At 38.6% G+C, this 23,469-nt stretch overlaps 1 protein-coding gene across 7 annotated transcripts in view, besides 1 other annotated feature; it reads right to left on the reverse strand.

Moving 5' to 3' along the window:
- Positions 1-23,469, reverse strand: part of ACBD6 (acyl-CoA binding domain containing 6) — a 232,925-nt gene that overhangs the window by 46,699 nt on the left and 162,757 nt on the right. The window lies entirely within an intron of this gene.
- Positions 10,238-10,738: an enhancer, noted in NCBI's record as "H3K27ac hESC enhancer chr1:180295724-180296224 (GRCh37/hg19 assembly coordinates)". NCBI's record gives its function as "activates a minimal SCP1, AML or CMV promoter by ChIP-STARR-seq in naive H9 embryonic stem cells {active_cell/tissue: H9 hESC(naive)}" and the evidence as "EXISTENCE:reporter gene assay evidence [ECO:0000049][PMID:30033119]".

Below are 23,469 nucleotides of genomic sequence, written 5' to 3' on the forward strand. Positions count from 1 at the left end.
ACATACATGCAAACTCCTGATGGGTTTATGCATTCACATTTATAGTTTAAATGTGAATGTCCTGCATTAGGAAGCAATTTCAGAAAAAGCTTAATCTACTGCAATTTCAGGATTCTACTTAGGCATCCATCATGCAAGGTTGTATTTTCCACAATTATGTATCTTTAGAAAGCATAGTTCTTTCACTATTTGTGCATAACTTTCATGTTTAATCACTGTGTTCATATATACTTAAAGTTCATTTCCTTTCAATTTCTAATTCTTCATCTTGACTATGGAGGTGGAAGAAAGCATAATCTATTTCTTTTAATCACATTTACCAGTGAATACTAAATCTATATCTCTACCTCAATTTCTAATTAATTAGTTAAAAATAGTTACTGAGCTCCAATTATGTTCCAGTCACTGTTCTAGGCACTGGAAACAATGAAATGAATGAGACAGAGGTCTCTAATGTTATAAATCTTATGTTGTAGTGGCTAGGGAATCAATAAGCAAATAAATATATTTAATACTAGGAAGTGATGAGTACGCTGGAAAACAATCAAAACAGAGTGAGAGACGAGACTGATGTGGGTGCTATTTTAGATAGAAAGGACTCTATAAGAAGGTATGTTTACACGGAGAACTGGGGAAGATACTAAGGTGGTCATGCAACCCAAAATGGGCAAATCACAGCACTGGTCATCTTCCTTGTCTGAAAGTATGCAAGTTACTCAAGCCAAGACAATTAGTTTTCTTTCAAAATTTTTCAAAATGGAGCTATAAGATAGAAGTGTGCGCACACAGAAGGTTCTTTCCTCTCTGATCAAAAGTAAAGGGTGCAACCCTATAAATACGTACAATTATTATGTGTCAATTTTAAAAAAGAGAGTGTGGTCAAAGAAGCTAGACACAAAAGGACAAATATTGTGTGATTCCATTTATAAGAGATACCTAGAGTAGTCAAATTCATAGGAACATGAAATAGAATAGTGGTTACCAGGGGCAGGGAGGAGGGAAGCATGGGGAGTTCTTGTCTAATGGGTACAGAGTTTCAGTTTGGGATGGTGGAAAAGTTCTGGAGATGAACAGTGGTGATAACTGCACAATAATGTGAATGTACTTAATGCCACTGAACTGTACATGTAAAAATGGTTAAAATGGTAAATTCCAAATATATTTTACCACAATAAAAAAGAAAGAAAATTAGAAAAGGGTATGAGCCAAAAACTGCAAGTGGCAATGTTCTCTACTTTGGGGTGAAAATCAGTCTGCAGTAGAAGAGAATAAGTATTCACAAAGAAAAAAGTAGTGGTGAGACATGGAGAGAGAATGAGGGTCTCTGGTTCTTGTCATTTCAACAATATTTTTTCTTGGTTAGGTAAGCCAATAACAGCAAAATACTCCCTAGACAAGTGTGATCTTTTTGTCACTTGTAAACAAGAGTCTTCACTAACCCAGAATGCAAGGCATTTCATGAACCAAGCCTTGCTCATCTCTCTCCCAATACCTTCTCTTCCCAATTTTGTGACTGCCAATTCCTATAAGAATACTTATCTGGGGCCTGGAGCGGTGGCTCATGCCTGTAATCCTGGCACTTTGGGAGGCCAAGGTGGGCGGATTGCCTGAGCTCAGCAGTTCCAGACCAGCCTGGGCAACATGATGAAACCTTGTCTCTACTAAAATACAAAAAATTAGCCAGGCGTTGGTGGCTTGTGTCTGTAGTCCCAGCTACTCGGGATTGCTTGAACCCAGGAGATGGAGGTTGCAGTGAGCTGAGATAGCGCCACTGCACTCCAGCCTGGGTGACAGAGTAAGATTCCATCTCCGCCCCCCCCCCCCAAAAAAAAAAGAAAGAAAGAAAAAAAAGGAATATTTATCTGGACTCCCATAGCTGTGAATGCTCCTTGCTCTGTCTGGAAACTGTCCCTCAACATTTTAAAGATAAAACCTTGCTCTTTTCTCATGTTTAAAAAATTCTTTGATATATTTGAACATTTTAAATTGACTTATTTTATAGTCCCTATATTTCTTTTATTTGAACTGAGGGAGGGGAAGCAGAGTGATGTTTGTTGTGCTGGCTGACACCTACTTATTGATTCCTATATGCTTTTTGATTCTGGACTATAAGTTTATTTTAAGGGGGGTTTTATCTTTGAAAAAATCTGTACTGTGCTCCCTAGATTGAGGGTCTGTCCCTCCAGAATAATTTTGCTTTTGTTTCTGTCAAGCATCCCAGATATATTATCAGCTTAAGATCACTTAGTTGACTTCTTAGCGGGATTTTTGAAAACTTAAGAAGTGCAAATTTAAAAAGAGCAAACCCACCTTCACCGCCACCCCAACCCCGGACTTGGAGCACAGGCTAAGACAAACTCTCTATGCCAATTCTGTCAGTGGGTAGAATTTTTCAGTCTACTCTGAGGGTGGTTGGTATTATTTGAGATCTCTACCCCATAGGTATTGAGACTGCCAAATCCTTTCAGAGCAGCCCAGTGTTGGTTTAAACTTACCACTTTGTTTTTAAAGCTTTGTTTATTTAAAAAACTATTTTAAAGCTTCCTATTTTGTTTTTAGCTATGCTTATTTTGGCCCTTGGAGAGTTGAGTTGCTTTTTTGTAAGCTTGTCTATGCATTTAAAGAGGTGCTTATTATATTTTATTCTGCATTTCTGAGTGTTTTGTGGTGGGAGAATTTTGAGATTATTATTAGTCTGGAATCCTGCAGGAAAATGAAATCCCCCAACCTTTAAGACTCAGTTCACCTTCTTAAGGAAACCTCCCCTGACTCCTCAAGTACGGTTAGGTGCTCCTCTTTTCTACTACTGTGGCACAACACATACTTTATGTTCTTATCTATCTCTTCCACTGAGACTATAAACTTCTTGTAGGCAAGTACTACGTCTTTCATCCAGTGCCTAGCTCAGTGTCTTGCATATACTGTGTGCTCAATAAATGTTCATGAAATGAGAGAATGAATACACTACTTTAATTTTTCCTCACTGTTTTTCTTTAAACTCAAAATTTTTTAATTTTTGTGGGTACACAGTAGGTATATATATTTGTGGGGTACATGAGGTACTGATATAGGCATGCTATGTGTAATATTCACATCATGATAAATGGGGTATCCATCCCCTCAAGCATTTATCCTTTGTGTTACAAGCAATCCAATTGTGCTTTTAGTTTGTACTCATTTTAAAATGTACAATTAAATTATTATTGACCATAGTCACCCTGTTATGCTATCAAATATTAGGTCTTAGTCATTCTAACTACTTTTCATACCCATTAACCATCCCACTTCTCCCCTATACCCCTGCAACCCTTCCCAGCCTCTAGTGGTCACCATCCTCCTACTCTCTATCTCCATGAGTTCAACTATTTTAATTTTTAGCTCCTACAAATAAATGAGAATATGCAAAGTTTGTCTGTGCATGGCTTATTTCACTTAACATAATGATCTCCAGGGTCTATCCATGTTGTTGCAAATGACAAGATCTCATTCTTTTTAATGACTGAATAATACTCCATTGTATATAAGTACCATATTTTCTTTATCCATTCGTTTGCTGATGGACACTTAGGTTGCCTCCAAATCCTGGCTATTGCAAACAGTGCTGCAACAAACATCGGTGTATGTATATCCCTTCAACATACTGATTTCCTTTCTTTGGGGTATATACCCAGCAGTGGGATTGCTGGATCCTATGATAGCTCTATTTTTAGTTGTTTGAGAAACCTCCAAACGGTTCTCCATAGTGGCTGTACTAATTTACATTCCCACAACAGTGTATAAGGGTTCCCTTTTTTCCACATCTTTGCCAGTATTTGTTATTGCCTGTCTTTTGGATATAAGCCATTTTCACTGGAGTAAGATGATACGTCATTGTATTTTGATTTGCATTTCTCTGATGATCAATGATATTGACCACCTTTTCATATAACTGATTGCCATTTTTATGTCTTCTTTTGAGAAAGATCTATTCAAATCATTTGCCCATTTTAAAATCTGATTATTAGGCCAAGCGTGTGGGTCACGCCTGTAATTCTAGCACTTTGGGAGGCTGAGGCAGATGGATCACTTGAGGCCAGGAGTTCAAGAGCAGCCTGGCCAACATGGCGAAACCCCATCTCTATTAAAAAATATAAAAAAATTAGCCACGCACAGTGGCTCACACCTGTAATCCCAGCTACCTGGGAGGCTGAGGTTGGAGAAATGCTTGAATCTGGGAGGTAGGGGTTGCAGTGAGCTGAGATCATGCCACTGCACTCCAGCCTGGGTGACAGAGCGAGATCCTGTCTCAAAAAATAAAAATAAAAAAAATGAAAATAAAATAAAACCAGATTATTAGGTTTTTTTTGCTCCTTCTGGTTATTAATCTCTTGTATATTTTCTCCCATTCTGTGGGTTGTCTTTCACTTTGTTGATTGTTTCCTTTGCTGTGCAGAAGCTTTTCAACTTGATGTGATCTCAGTTGTTCATTTTTGCTTTGGTTGCCTGTGTTTGTGGGGTTTTAAGAAATTTTTACAGAGACCAAAGTCCTGGAGAGTTTCCCCAATGTTTTCTTGTAGTAGTTTCATAGTTTGAGATCTCAGATCTAAGTCTTTAATCCATTTGGTTTGACTTTTGTACATGGTGAGAGACAGGGGTCTAGTTTCATTCTTCTGCATACGGGTATCTAGTTTTCCCAGCACCGTTTATTAAAGAGGCTGTCTTTTCCCCAATGTATGTTTTTGGTACTTTTGTTGAAAAAGGGTTCACTATAGGTGTATAGATTTGTTTCTGGGTTCTCTATTCTGTTCCATTCATCTATCTCTCTATTTTTATGTCAATACCAAGCAGTTTTTGTTACTATAGTTTTGTAGTATAATTTGCAGTCAGATAATGTGACCCTTCCAGTTTTGTTCTTTTTGCTCAGCATAGCTTTGGCTATACTGGGTCTTTTGTAGTTCCATATAAATTTTAGGATTGTTTTTCTACTTCTGTGAAGAATGTCATTGGTATTTTCATAGAAATTGCACTGAATTTATAGATTACTTTGGGTAGTATGGACATTTTAACAATATTGATTCTTCCAATCCATGAATATGGAATATCTTTCCACCTTTGTGTGTTCCCTTCAATTTCTTGCATCAATGTTTTGTAGTTTTCATTGTAGAGATCTTTCACTTCTTTGGTTAATTCCTGGGTATTTATCTGTGGCTACTGTAAATGGAATTACTTTTAAAATTTCTTTTTCAGACTGTTTGCATATAGAAATGCTACTGATTTTTGTAAGCCAAGATTGCACCACTGCACTTCAGCCTGGGTGACAGAGCAAGACTCTGTCTCAAAAATAAAAAAAAAGAAATGCTACTGATTTTTGTATGTTGATTTGTATCCTGCAACTTTACTGAATTTGTTTATCAGTTCTAATTGTTTTACGGTGGAGTCTTTAGGTTTTCCAAAATATAAGATCCTATAATCTTATGATAAATTAAACAAAGATAATTTGACTTCTTCCTTTCCAATTTGGATGCCCTTTATTTCTTTTTCTTGTCTGATTGCTCTAGCTAGGTCTTCCATTATCATGTTGAATAACAGTGGTGAAAATGGGTTTCCTTGTCATGTTCCAGATCTTACAGTTTTTCCCCATTCACTATGATACTAGCTTTGGGTCTGTCATATAAGACTTTTATTATGTTGAGGTAAGATGTTCCTTCTATATCTAGCTTGTTAAGGATTTTTTCATGAAGGAATATTGAATTTTATCAAATACTTTTTCAGCATCAATTGAAATGATCATATGGTCTTTGTCCTTCATTCTGATGATATAATGTATCACACTGATTTATTCGCACATGTTGAGCCATCCTTGCATCCCTGTAATAAAACCAACTTGGTTATGATGAGTGATCTTTTTAATGTATCATTGAATTTAGTTTGCTACTATTTTGTTGAGGATTTCTGAATCAATATTCATCAGAGATACTGGCCTGTAGTTTTCTTTTTTTGATCTTTGTCTGGTTTTGGTATCATGATAATACTGGCCTTATAGAATGAGTTTGGAAGTCTTCCCTCCTCAATTTTTTTGGAATAGTTTGAGAAGGACTGGTATTAGTTCTTTTTTAAATGTTTGGTAGAATTCAGCAGTGAAGCCACGAGGTCCTAGCCTTTTCTTTACTGGAAAACTTTATTTCAGCTTCTATCTTGTTATGTGTTACTGGTCTGTTAAGGTTTTGGATTTCTTCATGGTTCAATCTTGGTAGGTTGTATGTGTCTACAAATTTCCCCATTTTCTCTAGATTTTCTAATTTATTGACATATAGTTAGTTGCTCACAGTAGTCACTTAATGATCCTTTGAATTTCAGTGGTATTGGCTGTAATGTCTACCTTTTCATCTCTGATTTTATTTGGGTCTTCTCTTTTTTTTTTTTAGTCTGGCTAAAAGTTGGTCAATTTTATTTGTCTTTTCAAAACACCAAGTTTTCATTTTGATGACTGTATTCTTTCCTTCATTTCAGTTTGATTTATTTATTTCTGCTCTGATTTTTATTTTATTTATTATTTTATTATTTCTTTTCTTCTACTAATTTTGGGTTTGTTTACTCTTGCTTTTCTGGTTCTTTAGGATGCACCATTAGGTTATTGGAAGTTTTTCTTCTTTTTTGATGCAGGCGCTATAAACTTCTCTCTTGGTACTGCTTTCACTGTATCTTACAGGTTTTGGTATATTTCGTTTTCACCATTGTTAAAGAAATTTTTCAATTTTCTTAATTTCTTCATTGACTCACTGGTCATTCAGGAGCATACTGTTTAATTTCCATGTCTCTGTATAGTTTCCAAAATTATTCTTGTTATTTACAGGCCAGTATCTCTGATGAATATTGATTCAGAAATCCTCAAAAAAATAGTAGCAAACTAAATTCTGTAGTTTCATTTGATTGTGGTCAGAGAAGATGCTTAATATTATTTCAGTTTTTGAATAAGACTTATTTTGTGGCCTAATATATGGTCTATCCTTGAGAATGATTTATGTGCCGAGAAGAATGTGTACTGTACAGTCATTCGATGAAATGTTCTGTAAATATCTGTTAGATTCACTGTTGTACAGTATAGACTAAGTCTGATGTTTCTTTGATTTTCTGTCTGAAAGATCTGTCCAATGCTGACAGTGGTATGTTGGAGTCTCCAGCTACTATTGTATTGGGGTCTCTCTCTCTCTTTACCTCTAATAATATTTCCTTTATGTATCTGGGTGCTTCAGTGTTGGATGCATATATATTTATAATTATTATATCCTTTTGCTGAATTGACCCCTTTATCATTATATAATGACCTTGTCTCTTCTTATAGTTTTTGTCTTGAAATCTATTTTGTCTGATATAACTATAGCTACTCCTGCTCTTTTTTTGTTTCCACTGGGATGGAATATCTTTTTGCATTCCTTTATTTTCAGTCTGTGTGTAACTTTATAGGTGAAGTGTGTCTCTTGTAGGCAACAGATCATTGGGTCTTGATTTTTTAATCCACTCAGTTACTCTATGTCTTTTTTTTTTTTTTTTTTTTTTTTTGAGACGGAGTCTCGCTCTGTCGCCCAGGCCGGACTGCGGACTGCAGTGGCGCAATCTCGGCTCACTGCAAGCTCCGCTTCCCGGGTTCACGCCATTCTCCTGCCTCAGCCTCCCGAGTAGCTGGGACTACAGGCGCCCGCCACCGCGCCCGGCTAATTTTTTGTATTTTTAGTAGAGACGGGGTTTCACCTTGTTAGCCAGGATGGTCTCGATCTCCTGACCTCATGATCCACCCGCCTCGGCCTCCCAAAGTGCTGGGATTACAGGCGTGAGCCACCGCGCCCGGCCTACTCTATGTCTTTTGATAGGAGAGTTTTTAGTCCATTTACATTCAATGTCATTATTGATTAGGTAAGGACTTGCTTCTGCCATTCTGTTATTTGTTTTCTGGTCTTCTCTTTCTTCTTTCCTTGCTTCCTGTCTTCCTTTAGTGAAGGTAGTTTTCTCTGTTGGTATATTTTAATGTATTGCTTTTTATTTTTGTATATATGTTTTTTGATTTGAGGTTATCATGAGGCTTGCAAGTATCTTATAACCCATTATTATTAAGCTGATGACAACTTAACACTGATTGCATAAACAAATAGGCAAAAAAAAACTAATAAAAACATTTTCACTTAATTCTCTGACTTTTTAACTTTTTGTTGCTTATGTCTTATTGTCCCATGTTTTGAAAAGTTATCCTAGTTATTATTTTTGATTGGTTCATCAACTAGTCTTTCTACTTAAGAGTAGTTTACAAACCATAATTACAGTGTTATAATATTCTGATTTGTGTGTTTACTATTACCAGTGAGTTTTGTACCTTCATATAATTTCTTATTGCTCATTAACATACTTTTCCTTCTGACTGAAGAATTCCCTTTAGCATTTCTTATAGGACAGGTGTAGTGCTGACAAAATCCCTCAGCTTTTGTTTGTCTGACAGTCTTTATTTCTTCTTCATGCTTGAAGGATATTTTCACAAGATACACTGTTCTAGGGTAAATTTTTTTTTGTTTGTTTTTCCTTTAGCACTTTAAATATGTCATGCCACTCTCTCCTAGCCTGTTTAGGTTTCCACTGAAAAGTCTGCTGCCAGATGTGTTGGAGCTCCATTATATGTTGTTTCTTTTTTTCTTGATGCTTTTAGGATGCTTTCTTTACCCTTGACCTCTGGGAGCTTGATTATTAAATGCCTTGAGGTAGTCTTCTTTAGGTTAAAACTGTTCTATAACCTTCTTGTGCTTGAATGTTGGTATCTTTTTCTAGATTTGGGAAGTTCTCTGACACTATCCCTCTGAATAAACTTTCTATCCCTGTCTCTTTCTCGATCTCCTCCTTAAGGCCAATAACTCTTAGATTTGCCCTTTTGAGGCTGTTTTCTAGATCTTTTAAGTGTGTTTTATTCTTTTGTTTCCTCTGTGTATTTTTAAGTAGTCTGTCTTCAAGCTCACAAATTCTTCTGCTTAATTCTGCTATTAAGAGACTGATGCATTCTTCACTATGTCAATTCCATTTTTCAACTCTAGAATTTCTGCTTGGTTCTTTTTAATTATTTCAATCTCTTTTTTATATTTATATGATAGAATTCTGAATTTGCTTTCTGTGTTATCTTAAATTTCTTTGAGTTTCCTCAAAACAGTTATTTTGAATTCTCTGAAAGGTTGCATATCTCTTTCTCCAGGACTGGTCCCTGGTGTCTTATTTAGTTTGGTGAGGTTGTGTTTCCCTGGATGATCTCGATGATTGTGGATAGTCATTGGCGTTTAAACATTGAAGAGTTAGAATTTATTGTAGTCTTCGCAATTTGGGCACGTTTGTGCCCATTTTTCTTGGTAAGGTTTTCCAGGTATTGGAAGAGAATTGGGTCCCAAGCCGAATAACACTGTGGTTCTTGAAAACTCATAGAGGTAGTGACATGGTAGTCTTGGATAAGATCCAGAAGAATTATCTGGATTATCAGACAGAGACTCTTGTTCTCTTCCCTTATTTTCTCCCAAACAAATGGAGTCTCTCCTGTGCTGAGCCACTTGGATCCTGGGGTGGAGTGATGCAAAAACCCTGTGGCCACCACCACTGGGACTGCACTGGGTTGTATCTGGAGCCAGTACAGCACTGGGTCTCGCCCAAGGCCCACTGCAATCACTACCTGGCTACCACCTATCTTTACTCAAGGCCCTAGGGCTCTACAATTAGCAGGTGGGGAAGCCAGCCAGGTTTTTGTCCTTTCCTTCAGGGAAGCAAGTTACCCCAGGCCCTGGGTGGGTCCAGAGATGCTGTCTGGGAGCTAGGGATTGGAGGAAAAAACCTTAGAAATCTACCTGGTGTTCTATTTTACTGAGGCTAAGCTGGCCCTAAAACCATAAGACAAGTCAGTCCTTCCCTCCCTTTTCCACAGGCAGAGGAGCCTCTCCCACTCCCAGTTGCCACCACCACCACCAGCCCATGGAGAGCTCTGCCAGGCCACTGCCGATATTCACTGAAAGCCCAAGTGCTCTTCAGTCAGCTGTGGTGAATGCTGCCAACCCCAGAACTCACCCTTCAGGGCAGTGGGCTCCCCTCTGGCCCACGACAAGTCCAGAAGGCTATCCAAGGCTTGTCTGGTCCAAAGCTGTCCAAGAGCCTAGGCATGGAATCAGGCACCCCAACAGCCCGCTTGGCGTTCTAGCCCATTGTGGCTGAGCTGGTACCTACGGTACAAGGTAAAGTCCCCTTTACTTTTCCCTCTACTTTTCTGAAGCAGAAGGAGTCTTTTACTGTAGCTACCACAGCTGGGAATGTGCTGGGTCTCACCTGAAGCCAGCACATCTCAGAGTATCACCCAAGGCCCACAGCATACTAACTGGGCATTGCTGTTGGCTATTGAGGACCCAAGGGCTCTTTAGTCTGCAGGTGATGAATCCTGCAGGACTGGCTCCTTCCCTTCAAGGCAGTGGGTTCCCTTCTGACCCAGGATGTGTCTAGAAATGTCATCTGGGAGGTAGGCCGTGGAATGGGGGCTTCAAGACTCTGCCCAGTGCCCTATCCTACTGTGGCTGAGCAGGTATCCAAGATGTAAGACAAAGTCCTCCTTACTCTTTGCTCTCCTCTTCTCAAACAGAAGGAAGGAGTCAGAGGGATGGCACGAGCACTCCCTTTGTTGCCCTAGCTGATGTCTCCCTAGGTCATGTGCTGCCCTGGTCCACTGTCTCTAAGCCCACCGCAGCACTAGGACTTGCCTAGGAATTACAGTCCTGTGGCCTAGACTGCCTTTCAAGTATATTTAGGACCCCAGATATCTTTGGCCCGCAGTGGTGAGGTTTATCAAAACTCAAGTTCCTATCACTCGGATGGACGATTACCCTCTGGCTAGGGCTAGTCCAAATGCTCCTTCTATGTGTGGGTGCTGGCTGAGCCCTGCATGGCTTTGCTCTCTGCTTTGACAGGGCAGTACTGAGTTCAATGCCAAATCTCCCAGTTGCTGTGTTCTCCCTCTCCAAGTGCACAGATTCTCTCTCCACGCCACAGGGCTGCTGCGGGATTGAGAAGGGGTGGTGTCAGCGATTTAAGACTGTGTTTCCTACCCTCTTCAGTGCCTCTTTTAATAATATGAAGTTAAAACCAGGTACTGTGATTGCTCATCTGATTTTTGGTTCTTATGACAGTGCTCTTTTATGTGTAGTTATTTGTTAAAATTTGGTGTTCCTGCTGGGGCGACAATTGGTGGAGGGGCCTATTTGGCAATCTTGCTCCACATTCAGTTTATTATTTAAACCAATTTAAAGACTAATTAATTTTAGTCTTTAATTTAACCTTTTTCCTTTTACTTAAACCCTTTAGAAGAATGTTCCCATTTATTTCCTACAGTGTGGAGTGCAATGACAGACATGATAATACAATGAAGGTCTAAACAATGATGAACAGGATATTTAGCTTATAGTTACTAGCTGCAAAATCACTACTATATTCTGTTTGATTTCTGGATTCTTTTTTCTTCCACATGTGCTCCTGAAGTTAAACAGATTATTTCTTTCCTCACATGTACTCTGCAGCAATTCTTTCTTATTTTTGATCATGTCTCCATTTTAGGAATATTTCCTTTAAGGACTGAGTTTTCTTGTATCTCCAAATTGTGTGCCTCATCAAATATAGTATGCTTTTATTCTACCAAATGAGGTGTTGACGAAAATATTAAATACATAGCTCAGGATTGGTACAAGGAAACTATCATTTATTTTATCTCTTTAACACTAAGCCACTGGTAACACTGCTGTTTCTTCTGCATAAAATTGTGTAGCCCCTGGTTTTTAACTGCTAAATACATTTTATCACACTGAATCAAGAGCCATATTCCTAGATTAAGATACATACATATATACACACATATATGTATATATACATATATATGTATATTCCTGTACAGGTGTGTGTATATATATGTACACACACACACACACATACATACACACATACATATTCCAAGCTGTTCTTACAGCTTGTATATATACAGGCAATGTATATATACACACATATATATTCCAAGTGGAAAATTCTCTTCAGTGTAACTGGATTTTTTTTTTTTGACCATGATTCTGATGCTCTAATTCAATTCACACTTGATCTACCATCTCTACTAATGTCAGCTCTAAAGATACAAGAGTAATAACAAAGCTGCATAGAGGGGCTAGATTTTCCCATGATATGGCTAACGAGAAAATTTTGTTATATCCAGTAATTTACTTAAAATATAAATTTTATTTAAAAAACAGTGTTTCAAGTGAATGTATGATAAGTGAGGCACTCAAGCAAACTGGCTGTGAGAAATTCGAAGTAGTAATAAAAAATTTTGAGTTAGTAATATAGTTTTAGGTAAATTTTAATAGTATTTCTAAGCCTGGAATGTACTGTCTCTCCTTATGAGATCTGTGACTCTATAATAGATGATTAATCTGACAATTTAGAAGCTTGCAAATGCCTTTTATGATTATTTTTCTATATATATATATAAGTTAAGCTTTCAGCTGCAGGTTCTAGGTATTTTCCTTTCTTTCTAGGAAACAATGTAGATACAGTAACATCTTATTTAACTGGCATCTTTATGGAATGAGGGAGTATATATCAGTAGATTTTTCAAATAATTGGATCATTAACATTTCAGCATCCAAAAATTAAAAACATCATCCCTGTAAACTTTTGCATATAATTATTTCTAACACATCTTACTTCTCATTACTCTATATGGAGAACATGGACAATGATTTAACCTTTTTCTGACGATTCTCAGTCAACATCACAAACTGATTATATCCCTCAATTTCTGGCACCAAGTAAATGTCTGGGAATATGATTGAACAAAAACATCATTTACTGTACACACTATAAAAGATGCCTTTACAGTGCACTAAGGTATATAAGGCTATTTGGTCTTTCACCAAATGGACCCAGACTACTTTTGCTTTTTGTTGAGTTTGATTTTTGTCTTTTCCTTTTTTAAGCAGCTTTTCCTCAGCCATAGGATATTCATTTATCCTTTATTATTATCAGTGTACCTGAACTCTTTAAAATTTTCTACCTCTCATCTGCTAAGGATTGGAAATCAGACAAGCAAGTTCCTCAAGCTGTGTCTAAAACTGGGAAACTGTCTCTGACTGATAGTCTGGGAATGGTCTCACAACATGATTTGTAGAAAGCTTTATTATAGATCTGTGTATTTTATGTTCATGTTGGTTTTATCTTGGTTTTAGGCTATATTCTTTTTTTAAACTTTTGGGGAGCATTTCTAAGCATAGACTATATTCTTAATCAGTGATTTTCAATTTTTTTTAACATTCTATGGAAGCTTGTATTCAAATAGAATCTGGAATGACAAGTAAATAAAGCCAACATTAAAGTGGCACTGCTCTGGGTGGTGATCTGTAGCCCGTGCACACTTCGCCTTCTTGCCTCTCTACCAGTTGCCATCAGTGTCACCACAAATGGGTAACATGTCTTTGGACAAGTTAGAAGTAACTCTTTTTACTGGCTGTCTTTCTGTTTCCGGACATTTGTCTAATCCTCCACAAAATAATGGAACTAACTTGTTAATCAATAGTTACAAGATAACTTTCTGACCAGCCCACTCCTCAGTTTTCTTAAGTTTTCTCTATGAATAAAAACCAGAAAGTAACAGTATATATTCCAAAAAGCTGACAAAATACAGCAAAATACAAGGACTTGATTCTCTGGACGTCTTTCTTATTAGGTGTAAGCAATAATTAAGGATCAAAACTTCATTTGAAGGCTGGGCATGGTGGCTCATGACTCTAATTCTAGTACTTTGAGAGGCTGAGGTGGGAGAACTGCTTGAGCCTAGGAGTTTGAGATCAGCCTGGGCAACATTAGGGAGACCTTGACTCTATAAGAATTTTTTTTTTTTTTTTAAAGCCAGGTGTGGCGGTGCACACCTCTGGTCCCAGCTATTTGAGAGGCTGAGGTGGGAGGATCTCCTGAGCCCAGGAGACTGAGGCTGTGGTGAGCCATGATTATACCACTGCACTCCAGCCTGGGCAACAGAGTGACACTCTGTTTCAAAAACAAACAAACAAACAAACAAACAAAAAAACCAAACCAAAATCACAAAAAAAACCTTATTTGAAAAACCATACATCTGTGATCAAATATAAATGGGCATTTCAAACTCTTTCTCCACATGGGCTACAACAGTAAAAGCTAACTTAAATAGATGATATCCAAATTGATAAATAGCTACTGTAAACATGACAAGCAAACAACTAAAAGGAAAACAATCAAAGGCAGTATTACTGATTATTCATCCCTTTTAAGGCAACTGATCAAATGTACATCTACACAGATGTTCTTAAGAGCAAGTTTGCTTTGGGAACTGCAGCTAAAACAACTACATTTACTTTAACATCATATTAAAATTGCTGGAGAGAGAGGAATTGGAGTAAAATAGGTACAGTGTAAACAAGCAGTTGAACCTAAAGAATGGATAATATATGTGCTCTATCCACACGGTGGTCTTCTAATCATTCAGACTCACAAAACTACTGTTGGGTACAATTAGCATCAATTATTCGGAAATATTTCAGACAGAAACCATTCCAAATTTGCCATCAGGGTAGTGTCAGACTGGAGTCCTTGAGGTAATTCATGTGACAGCTTATCCAGCCACCCAGGAGGTTTCTTCTCTCCAGGAGATATAACTCAGATATTAGGGGAAGAGATCCATATCAGCAGATGTGGGGTCTATCTTGGCTTAGAAGTCCTGGTACTTCACAAGTGCCACAATATAACAGTAGCTTCTAGGGTCACACAAGGGGTATGCCAATTACAAGTAACTCAGGACATTCCAAAGTACAGTGTCCCCATCAGGTATTTATCATTCCTTTGCAGTTCTTCCCAGTCCAAATTAATTTACCAATCAAGGGGTCATTTTTGTCATAATGTTACTTAGTAATATAACTAACATCCTTAACCCCATCAGGTTACCAAATAACTTAGATAGCCATTTTAATCTAAAGCCAGATTTTCATTCAGCAGGGGAAAATGTAGTCAATATCCTAATATGGTATCAAACTTATATAATCAGAATTTCCATATCGAAGTTTAATTTGAAATACTTTGGGGATATCATAGGACTTTGCCAACTCTGTCTGTTCCACTTTGACTATAAGAATTTCTCCCACAGCACATGTTCCTTGTTCCTTTGTTATTTTCTTTTTACGTAAGTATACCTAAGTGAATTGGGCTACAATATATTTTGCTACATCTGATTGTTTAAACCAGGGGGATCTGATAGAATAATACTAAAACAATATAACAATGCTACAGCATATCTGGACAAAGAGATGCATGAGGATATTTAAGGAAATAGGGGACTTTGCAATTCCACTTCTGTAAATTTTTCCCCCAAGGAAAATTGTCCCAACCCCAAGACTTCATGTTAATAAATGGTATGTCATTTGGCTCTATTACCCAGCTGCTCAAGTCAAGAATTTGGGCTCCATCCTTGAATTCTACTTTCCTCATCCTCTATATTGAATCCACAAACAACTCCTACTAGAGAGTATATTCTAAAATATATGATGTCTAATTATCCATTTCTCTTTACTTCATTGTTACTACCTGTTATGAGTTTAATTGTGTCTCCCAAAAATATGTTAAAGTTCTAACTCCTTGTACCTCACAATGGGTACCTTATTTGGAAACACACAAGGAATGCCAAGAATTGCCAGCAAACACCAGAAGCCCGAAGAGGCAAAGGATTCTCCCCTACAGGTTTCAGAGGGAGAATGGCCCTGCTAACAATACATTTCTGTTGTTTTAAGCCACCTAGTTTGTGGCACTTTGTTACAGCTGTCCTAGGAAATTAATACCCCACATCAGTACAAACCTCCACCATTTCCTACCTAGACAAAGGCAGTAACTTCATATTTGTTCCCCTTCCCCACTACAATCTGTTCTTCAGACAGCAGTTAAAACAGGGGTCCCCAATCCCTGTTACCTGTCCATGGCCTGTTAGGAACTGGGCTACACAACAGGAGGTGAGTGGCAGGCAAGTGAGCAAAGCTTCATCTGTATTTACAGTTGTTCCTCATCACTCACATTACCATCTGAGCTCTGCCTCTTGTCAGATCAGTGGCAGCATTAGATTCTCACAGGAATGCCAACCCTTATTGTGAACTGCACATATGAGGGATCTAAGTTGTATGCTCCTTATGAGAATCTAATGCCTGATGATCTGACAGTGCCTCCCATCACCCCTAGATGGGACCATCTAGTTGCAGGAAAACAAGCTCAGGGCTTCCACTGATTCTATATTATAGTGAGTTGTATAATTATCTCATAATATATTGCAATGTAATAATAATATAAAGTGCACAATAAATGTAATGCATTTGAATCATCCTGAAACCATCCCCCTGACCCCAGTCCATGGTAAAATTGTCTTCCACGAAACCTGTCCCTGGTGTCAAAAAGGTTGGGGACCACTGAGTTAGATAAATGACCTTTTCTTAGTTAAGCCAGATTATGTCATACCTTGCTTTTAAATCCTTCAACAGCTTCTTACTGTTTTTAGAATAAAGTTCAAAACTCTTACCATGGCCTAGAATAGCAGTTCTTAAAACATTTTGGTTTCAGGATCCCTTTATAGTAACTCTTTGGAGTTACTCTTCAGAATTACTGAGGACCTCAAAGAACTTTTGTTTATGTGGTTTAAATCTATCAATATTTACCATATTAGAAATTAATGCCAGTAAATTTAAAAACCATCATGTTACTATATATTTTACATATAACATAAAAACATGTTACATGTTTTACACTTAACATAAATTATACGTAACATAATTTTAAAAATGAAAATATTTTTCCAGATTAAAAAAAAACACAATGAGAAGAGTGGTATCATTTTAGATTTTTGCAAATTTCTTTAATACCTGGTTAAATAGAAAATAATTGGATATGCATATCTAGTTCTGCATTCAATCTGTTGTGACAACACAAGTGATATAGCTTTTGAAATATGCTATTGCATGCTCATGACAATGAGTATGAAAAAGGCAAATAATGTCTTGGAATTATAAAATAATCCTGACCTCATAGACCTGCTGCACTCAAAAAATTTCACTGAGTGAATAAATGATTCATAGATTTATGTAAATATTTATCTGCAAGGATGTTCATGGCTTAAATTCATTCATTCAAGAAATACTGACAGCTCCCAGTGTGAGCGACGCAGAAGACGGGTGATTTCTGCATTTCAACTGAGGTACCGGGGTCATCTCACTGGGGAGTGTCAGAAAGTGGGTGCAGGACAGTGAGTGCAGCGCACTGAGCGTGAGCCAAAGCAGGGCAAGGCATCGCCTCACCCGGGAAGCGCAAGGGGTCAGGGAATTCCCTTTCCTAGTCAAAAGAAAGGGGTGACAGCCGGCATCTGGAAAATCAGGTCACTCCCACTCTAATACTGCACTTTTCCAATGGTCTTAGCAAACAGCACACCAGGAGATTATATCCCGTGCCTGGCTCAGAGGGTCCTATGCCCACGGAGCCTCGCTCATTGCTAGCACAGCAGTCTGAGATCAAACTGCAAGGCGGCAGTGAGGCTGGGGGAGGGGCGCCTGCCATTGCCGAGGCTTGAGTAGGTAAACAAAGCGGCCAGGAAGCTCCAACTGGGTGGAGCCCACCGCAGCTCAAGGAGGCCTGCCTGCCTCTGTAGACTCCACCTCTGCGGGCAGGGCATAGTCAAACAAAAGGCAGCAGAAACCTCTGCAGACTTAAATGTCCCTGTCTGACAGCTTTGAAGAGAGTAGTGGTTCTCCCAGCACATAGCTGGAGATCTGAGAACAGACAGACTGCCTCCTCAAGTGGGTCCCTGACCCTCGAGTAGCCTAACTAGGAGGCACCCCCCAGCAGGGGCAGATTGACACCTCACACGGCCGGGTACTCCTCTGAGACAAAACTTCCAGAGGAACGATCAGGCAGCAACATTTGCTGTTCACCAATATCCATTGTTCTGCAGCCGCCGCTGCTGATACCCAGGCAAACAGGGTCTGGAGTGGACCTCCAGTAAACTCCTACAGACCTGCAGCTGAAGGTCCTGACTGTTAGAAGGAAAACTAACAAACAGGACACCCACACCAAAACCCCATCTGTACGTCACCATCATCAAAGATCAAAGGTAGATAAAACCACAAAGATGGGAAAAAAACAGAGCAGAAAAACTGGAAACTCTAAAAATCAGAGCGCTTCTCCTCCTCCAAAGGAACGCAGCTCCTCACCAGCAATGGAAGAAAGCTGGACGGAGAATGACTTTGATGAGTTGAGAGAAGAAGGCTTCAGACGATCAAACTACTTTGAGCTAAAGGAGGAAGTGCAAACCCATGGCAAAGAAGTTAAAAACCTTGAAAAAAAATTAGACGAATGGCTAACTAGAATAACCAATGCAGAGAAGTCCTTAAAGGACCTGATGGAGCTGAAAACCATGGCACGAGAACTACGTGACGAATGCACAAGCCTCAGTAGCCGATTCAATCAACTGGAAGAAAGGGTATCAGTGATAGGAGATCAAATGAATGAAATGAAGCGAGAAGAGAAGTTTAGAGAAAAAAGAATAAAAAGAAACGAACAAAGCCTCCAAGAAATATGGGACTACGTGAAAAGACCAAATCTACTTCTGATTGGTGTACCTGAAAGTGATGGGGAGAAGGGAACCAAGTTGGAAAACACTCTGCAGGATATTATCCAGGAGAACTTCCCCAAACTAGCAAGGCAGGCCAACATTCAAATTCAGGAAATACAGAGAATGCCACAAAGATACTCCTCGAGAAGAACAACCCCAAGACACATAATTGTCAGATTCACCAAAGTTGAAATGAAGGAAAAAATGTTAAGGGCGGCCAGAGAGAAAGGTCAGGTAACCCACAAAGGGAAGCCCGTCATACTAACAGCTGATCTCTCGGCAGAAACTCTACAAGCCAGGAGAGAGTGGGGGCCAATATTCAACATTCTTAAAGAAAAGAATTTTCAACCCAGAATTTCATATCCAGCCAAACTAAGCTTCATAAGTGAAGGAGAAATAAAATCCTTTACAGACAAGCAAATGCTGAGAGATTTTGTCACCACCAGGCCTGCTTTACAACAGCTCCTGAAGGAAGCACTAAACATGGAAAGGAACAACAGGTACCAGCCACTGCAAAAACATGCCAAATTGTAAAGACCATCGAGGCTATGAAGAAACTGCATCAACTAACGAGCAAAATAACCAGCTAACATCATAATGACAGGATCAAATTCACACATAACAATATTAACCTTAAATGTAAATGGGCTAAATGCTCCAATTAAAAGACACAGACTGGCAAACTGGGTAAAGAGTCAAGACCCATCAGTGTGCTGTATTCAGGAAACCCATCTCACATGCAGTGACACACATAAGCTCAAAATAAAGGGATGGAGGAAGATCTACCAAGCAAATGGAAAACAAAAAAAGGCAGGGGTTGCAATCCTAGTCTCTGATAAAACAGACTTTAAACCAACAAAGATCAAAAGAGACAAAGAAGGCCATTACATAATGGTAAAGGGATCAATTCAACAAGAAGAGCTAACTATCCTAAATATATATGCACCCAATACAGGAGCACCCAGATTCATAAAGCAAGTCCTTAGAGACCTAGAAAGAGACTTAGACTCCCACACAATAATAATGGGAGACTTTAACACCCCACTGTCAACATTAGACAGATCAATGAGACAGAAAGTTAACAAGGATATCCAGGAATTGAACTCAGCTCTGCACCAAGAGGACCTAATAGACATCTACAGAACTCTCCACCCCAAATCAACAGAATATACATTCCTCTCAGCATCCCACTGCACTTATTCCAAAACTGATCACATAGTTGGAAGTAAAGCACTCCTCAGCAAATGTAAAAGAACAGAAATTATAACAAACTGTCTCTCAGACCACAGTGCAATCAAACTAGAACTCAGGATTAAGAAACTCACTTAAAACCACTCAACTACATGGAAACTGAACAACCTGCTCCTGAATGACTATTGGGTACATAACGAAATGAAGGCAGAAATAAAGATGTTCTTTGAAACCAATGAGAACAAAGACACAACATACCAGAATCTCTGGGACACATTCAAAGCAGTGTGTAGAGGGAAATTTATAGCACTAAATGCCCACAAGAGAAAGCAGGAAAGATCTAAAATTGACACCCTAACATCACAATTAAAAGAACTAGAGAAGCAAGAGCAAACACATTCAAAAGCTAGCAGAAGGCAAGAAATAACTAAGATCAGAGCAGAACTGAAGGAGATAGAGACACAAAAAACCCTTCAAAAACTCAATGAATCCAGGAGCTGGTTTTTTGAAAAAAAATTGATAGACTGCTAGCAAGACTAATAAAGAAGAAAAGAGAGAAGAATCAAATAGATGCAATAAAAAATGATAAAGGGGACATCACCACCAATCCCACAGAAATACAAACTACCATCAGAGAATACTATAAACACCTCTATGCAAATAAACTAGAAAATCTAGAAGAAATGGATAAATTCCTCGACACATACACCCTCCCAAGACTAAACCAGGAAGAAGTTGAATCTCTGAAGAGACCAATAACAGGCTCTGAAATTGAGGCAAAAATTAATAGCTCACCAACCAAAAAAAGTCCAGGACCAGACATTCACAGCCGAATTCCACCAGAGGTACAAGGAGGAGCTGGTACCATTCCTTCTGAAACTATTCCAATTAATAGAAAAGAGGGAATCCTCCCTAACTCATTTTATGAGGCCAGCATCATCCTGATACCAAAGCCTGGCAGAGACACAACAAAAAAAGAGAATTTTAGACCAATATCCCTGATGAACATCGATGCAAAAATCCTCAATAAAATACTGAAAAACCGAATCCAGCAGCACATCAAAAAGCTTATCCACTGTGATCAAGTGGGCTTCATCCCTGGGATGCAAGGCTGGTTCAACATACAAAAATCAATAAACGTAATCCAGCATATAAACAGAACCAATGACAAAAACCACATGATTATCTCAATAGATGCAGAAAAGGCCTTTGACAAAATTCAACAACGCTTCATGCTAAAAACTCTCAATAAATTAGGTATTGATGGGATGTATCTCAAAATAATAAGAGCTATCTATGACAAACCCACAGCCAATATCATACTGAATGGGCAAAAACTGGAAGCATTCCCTTTGAAAATGGGCACAAGACAGGGATGCCCTCTCTCACCACTCCTATTCAACATAGTGTTGGAAGTTCTGGCCAGGGCAATCAGGCAGGAAAAGGAAATAAAGGGTATTCAATTAGGAAAAGAGGAAATCAAATTGTCCCTGTTTGCAGATGACATGATTGTATATCTAGAAAACCCCATCGTCTCAGCCCAAAATCTCCTTAAGCTGATAAGCAACTTCAGCAAAGTCTCAGGGTACAAAATCAATGTGCAAAAATCACAAGCATTCTTATACACCAATAACAGACAAACAGCCAAATCATGAGTGAACTCCCATTCACAAGTGCTTCGAAGAGAATAAAATACCTAGGAATACAACTTACAAGGGATGTGAAGGACCTCTTCAAGGAGAACTACAAACCACTGCTCAATCAAATAAAAGAGGATCCAAACAAATGGAAGAACAAGAGGATCCAAACAATGGAAGAACATCCAAACAAATGCTCATGGATAGGAAGAATCAATACCGTGAAAATGGCCATACTGCCCAAGGTAATTTATAGATTCAATGCCATCCCCATCAAGCTACCAATGACTTTCTTCACAGAATTGGAAAAAACTACTTTAAAGTTCATATGGAACCAAAAAAAGAGCCCACATTGCCAAGTCAATCCTAAGCCAAAAGAACAAAGCTGGAGGAATCACACTACCTGACTTCAAACTATACTACAAACAGTAACCAAAACAGCATGGTACTGGTATCAACACAGAGATATGGACCAATGGAACAGAACAGAGCCCTCAGAAATAATGCCACACATCTACAACTATCTGATCTTTGACAAACCTGACAAAAACAAGCAATGGGGAAAGGATTCCCTATTTAATAAATGGTGCTGGGAAAACTGGCTAGCCATATGTAGAAAGCTGAAACTGGATCCCTTCCTTACACCTTCTACAAAAATTAATTCAAGATGGATTAAAGACTTAAATGTTAGACCTAAAATCATAAAAACCCTAGAAGAAAACCTAGGCAATACCATTCAGGACATAGGCATGGGCAAGGACTTCATGTCTAAAACACCAATGGCAATGGCAACAAAAGCCAAAATTGACAAATGGGATCTAATTAAAAACTAAAGAGCTTCTGCACAGCAAAAGAAACTACCACCAGAGTGAATAGGCAACCTACAGAATGGGAGAAAATGTTTGCAATCTACTCATCTGACAAAGGGTTAATATCCAGAATCTACAAAGAACTCAAACAAATTTATAAGAAAAAAACAAACAACCCCATCAAAAAGTGGGCAAAGGGTATCAATAGACACTTCTCAAAAGAAGACATTTATGCAGCCAAAAGACACATGAAAAGATGCTTATCATCACTGGCCATCAGAGAAATGCAAATCAAAACCACAATGAGATACCATCTCACACCAGTTAGAATGGCAATCATTAAAAAGTCAGGAAACAACAGGTGCTAGAGAGGATGTGGAGAAACAGGAACACTTTTACACTGTTGGTGGGACTGTAAACTAGCTCAACCATTGTGGAAGTCAGTGTGGCAATTCCTCAGGGATCTAGAACTAGAAATATCATTTGACCCAGCCATCCCATTACTGGGTATATACCCAAAGGAGTATAAATCATGCTGCTATAAAGACACATGCACACGTATGTTTACTGAGGCACTATTCACAATAGCAAAGACTTGGAACCAACCCAAATGTCCATCAGTGACAGACTGGATTAAGAAAATATGGCACATATACACCATGGAATACTATGCAGCCATAAAAAATGATGAGTTAATGTCCTTTGTAGTGACATGGATGAAGCTGGAAACCGTCATTCTCAGCAAACTATTGCAAGGACAAAAAACCAAACACCGCATGTTCTCACTCATAGGTGGGAATTGAACAATGAGAATATTTGGACACAGGAAGGGGAACATCACACCCCGGGGCCTGTTGTAGGGTGGAAGGAGGGAGGGAGGGATAGCGTTAGGAGATATAGCTAATGTAAATGACGAGTTAATGGGTGCAGCACACCAACATGGCACATGTATATATATGTGACAAACCTGCACGTTGTGCACATGCACCCTAAAACTTAAAGTATAATTAAAAAAAGAAAAAAAGAAATACTTATTGAGTATCAACTACGTGTTAGGCACTGTTCTAAGGACAGCAAACAAGACAAAAATCTCGCCCTAATTGGGAGAGGGGGAACAGAAAACAAGCTAAGTAAAATATAGTATACT

The sequence above is a fragment of the Homo sapiens genome, chromosome 1 (genome assembly GCF_000001405.40).
Source record: "Homo sapiens chromosome 1, GRCh38.p14 Primary Assembly".
NCBI lineage: Eukaryota > Metazoa > Chordata > Mammalia > Primates > Hominidae > Homo > Homo sapiens.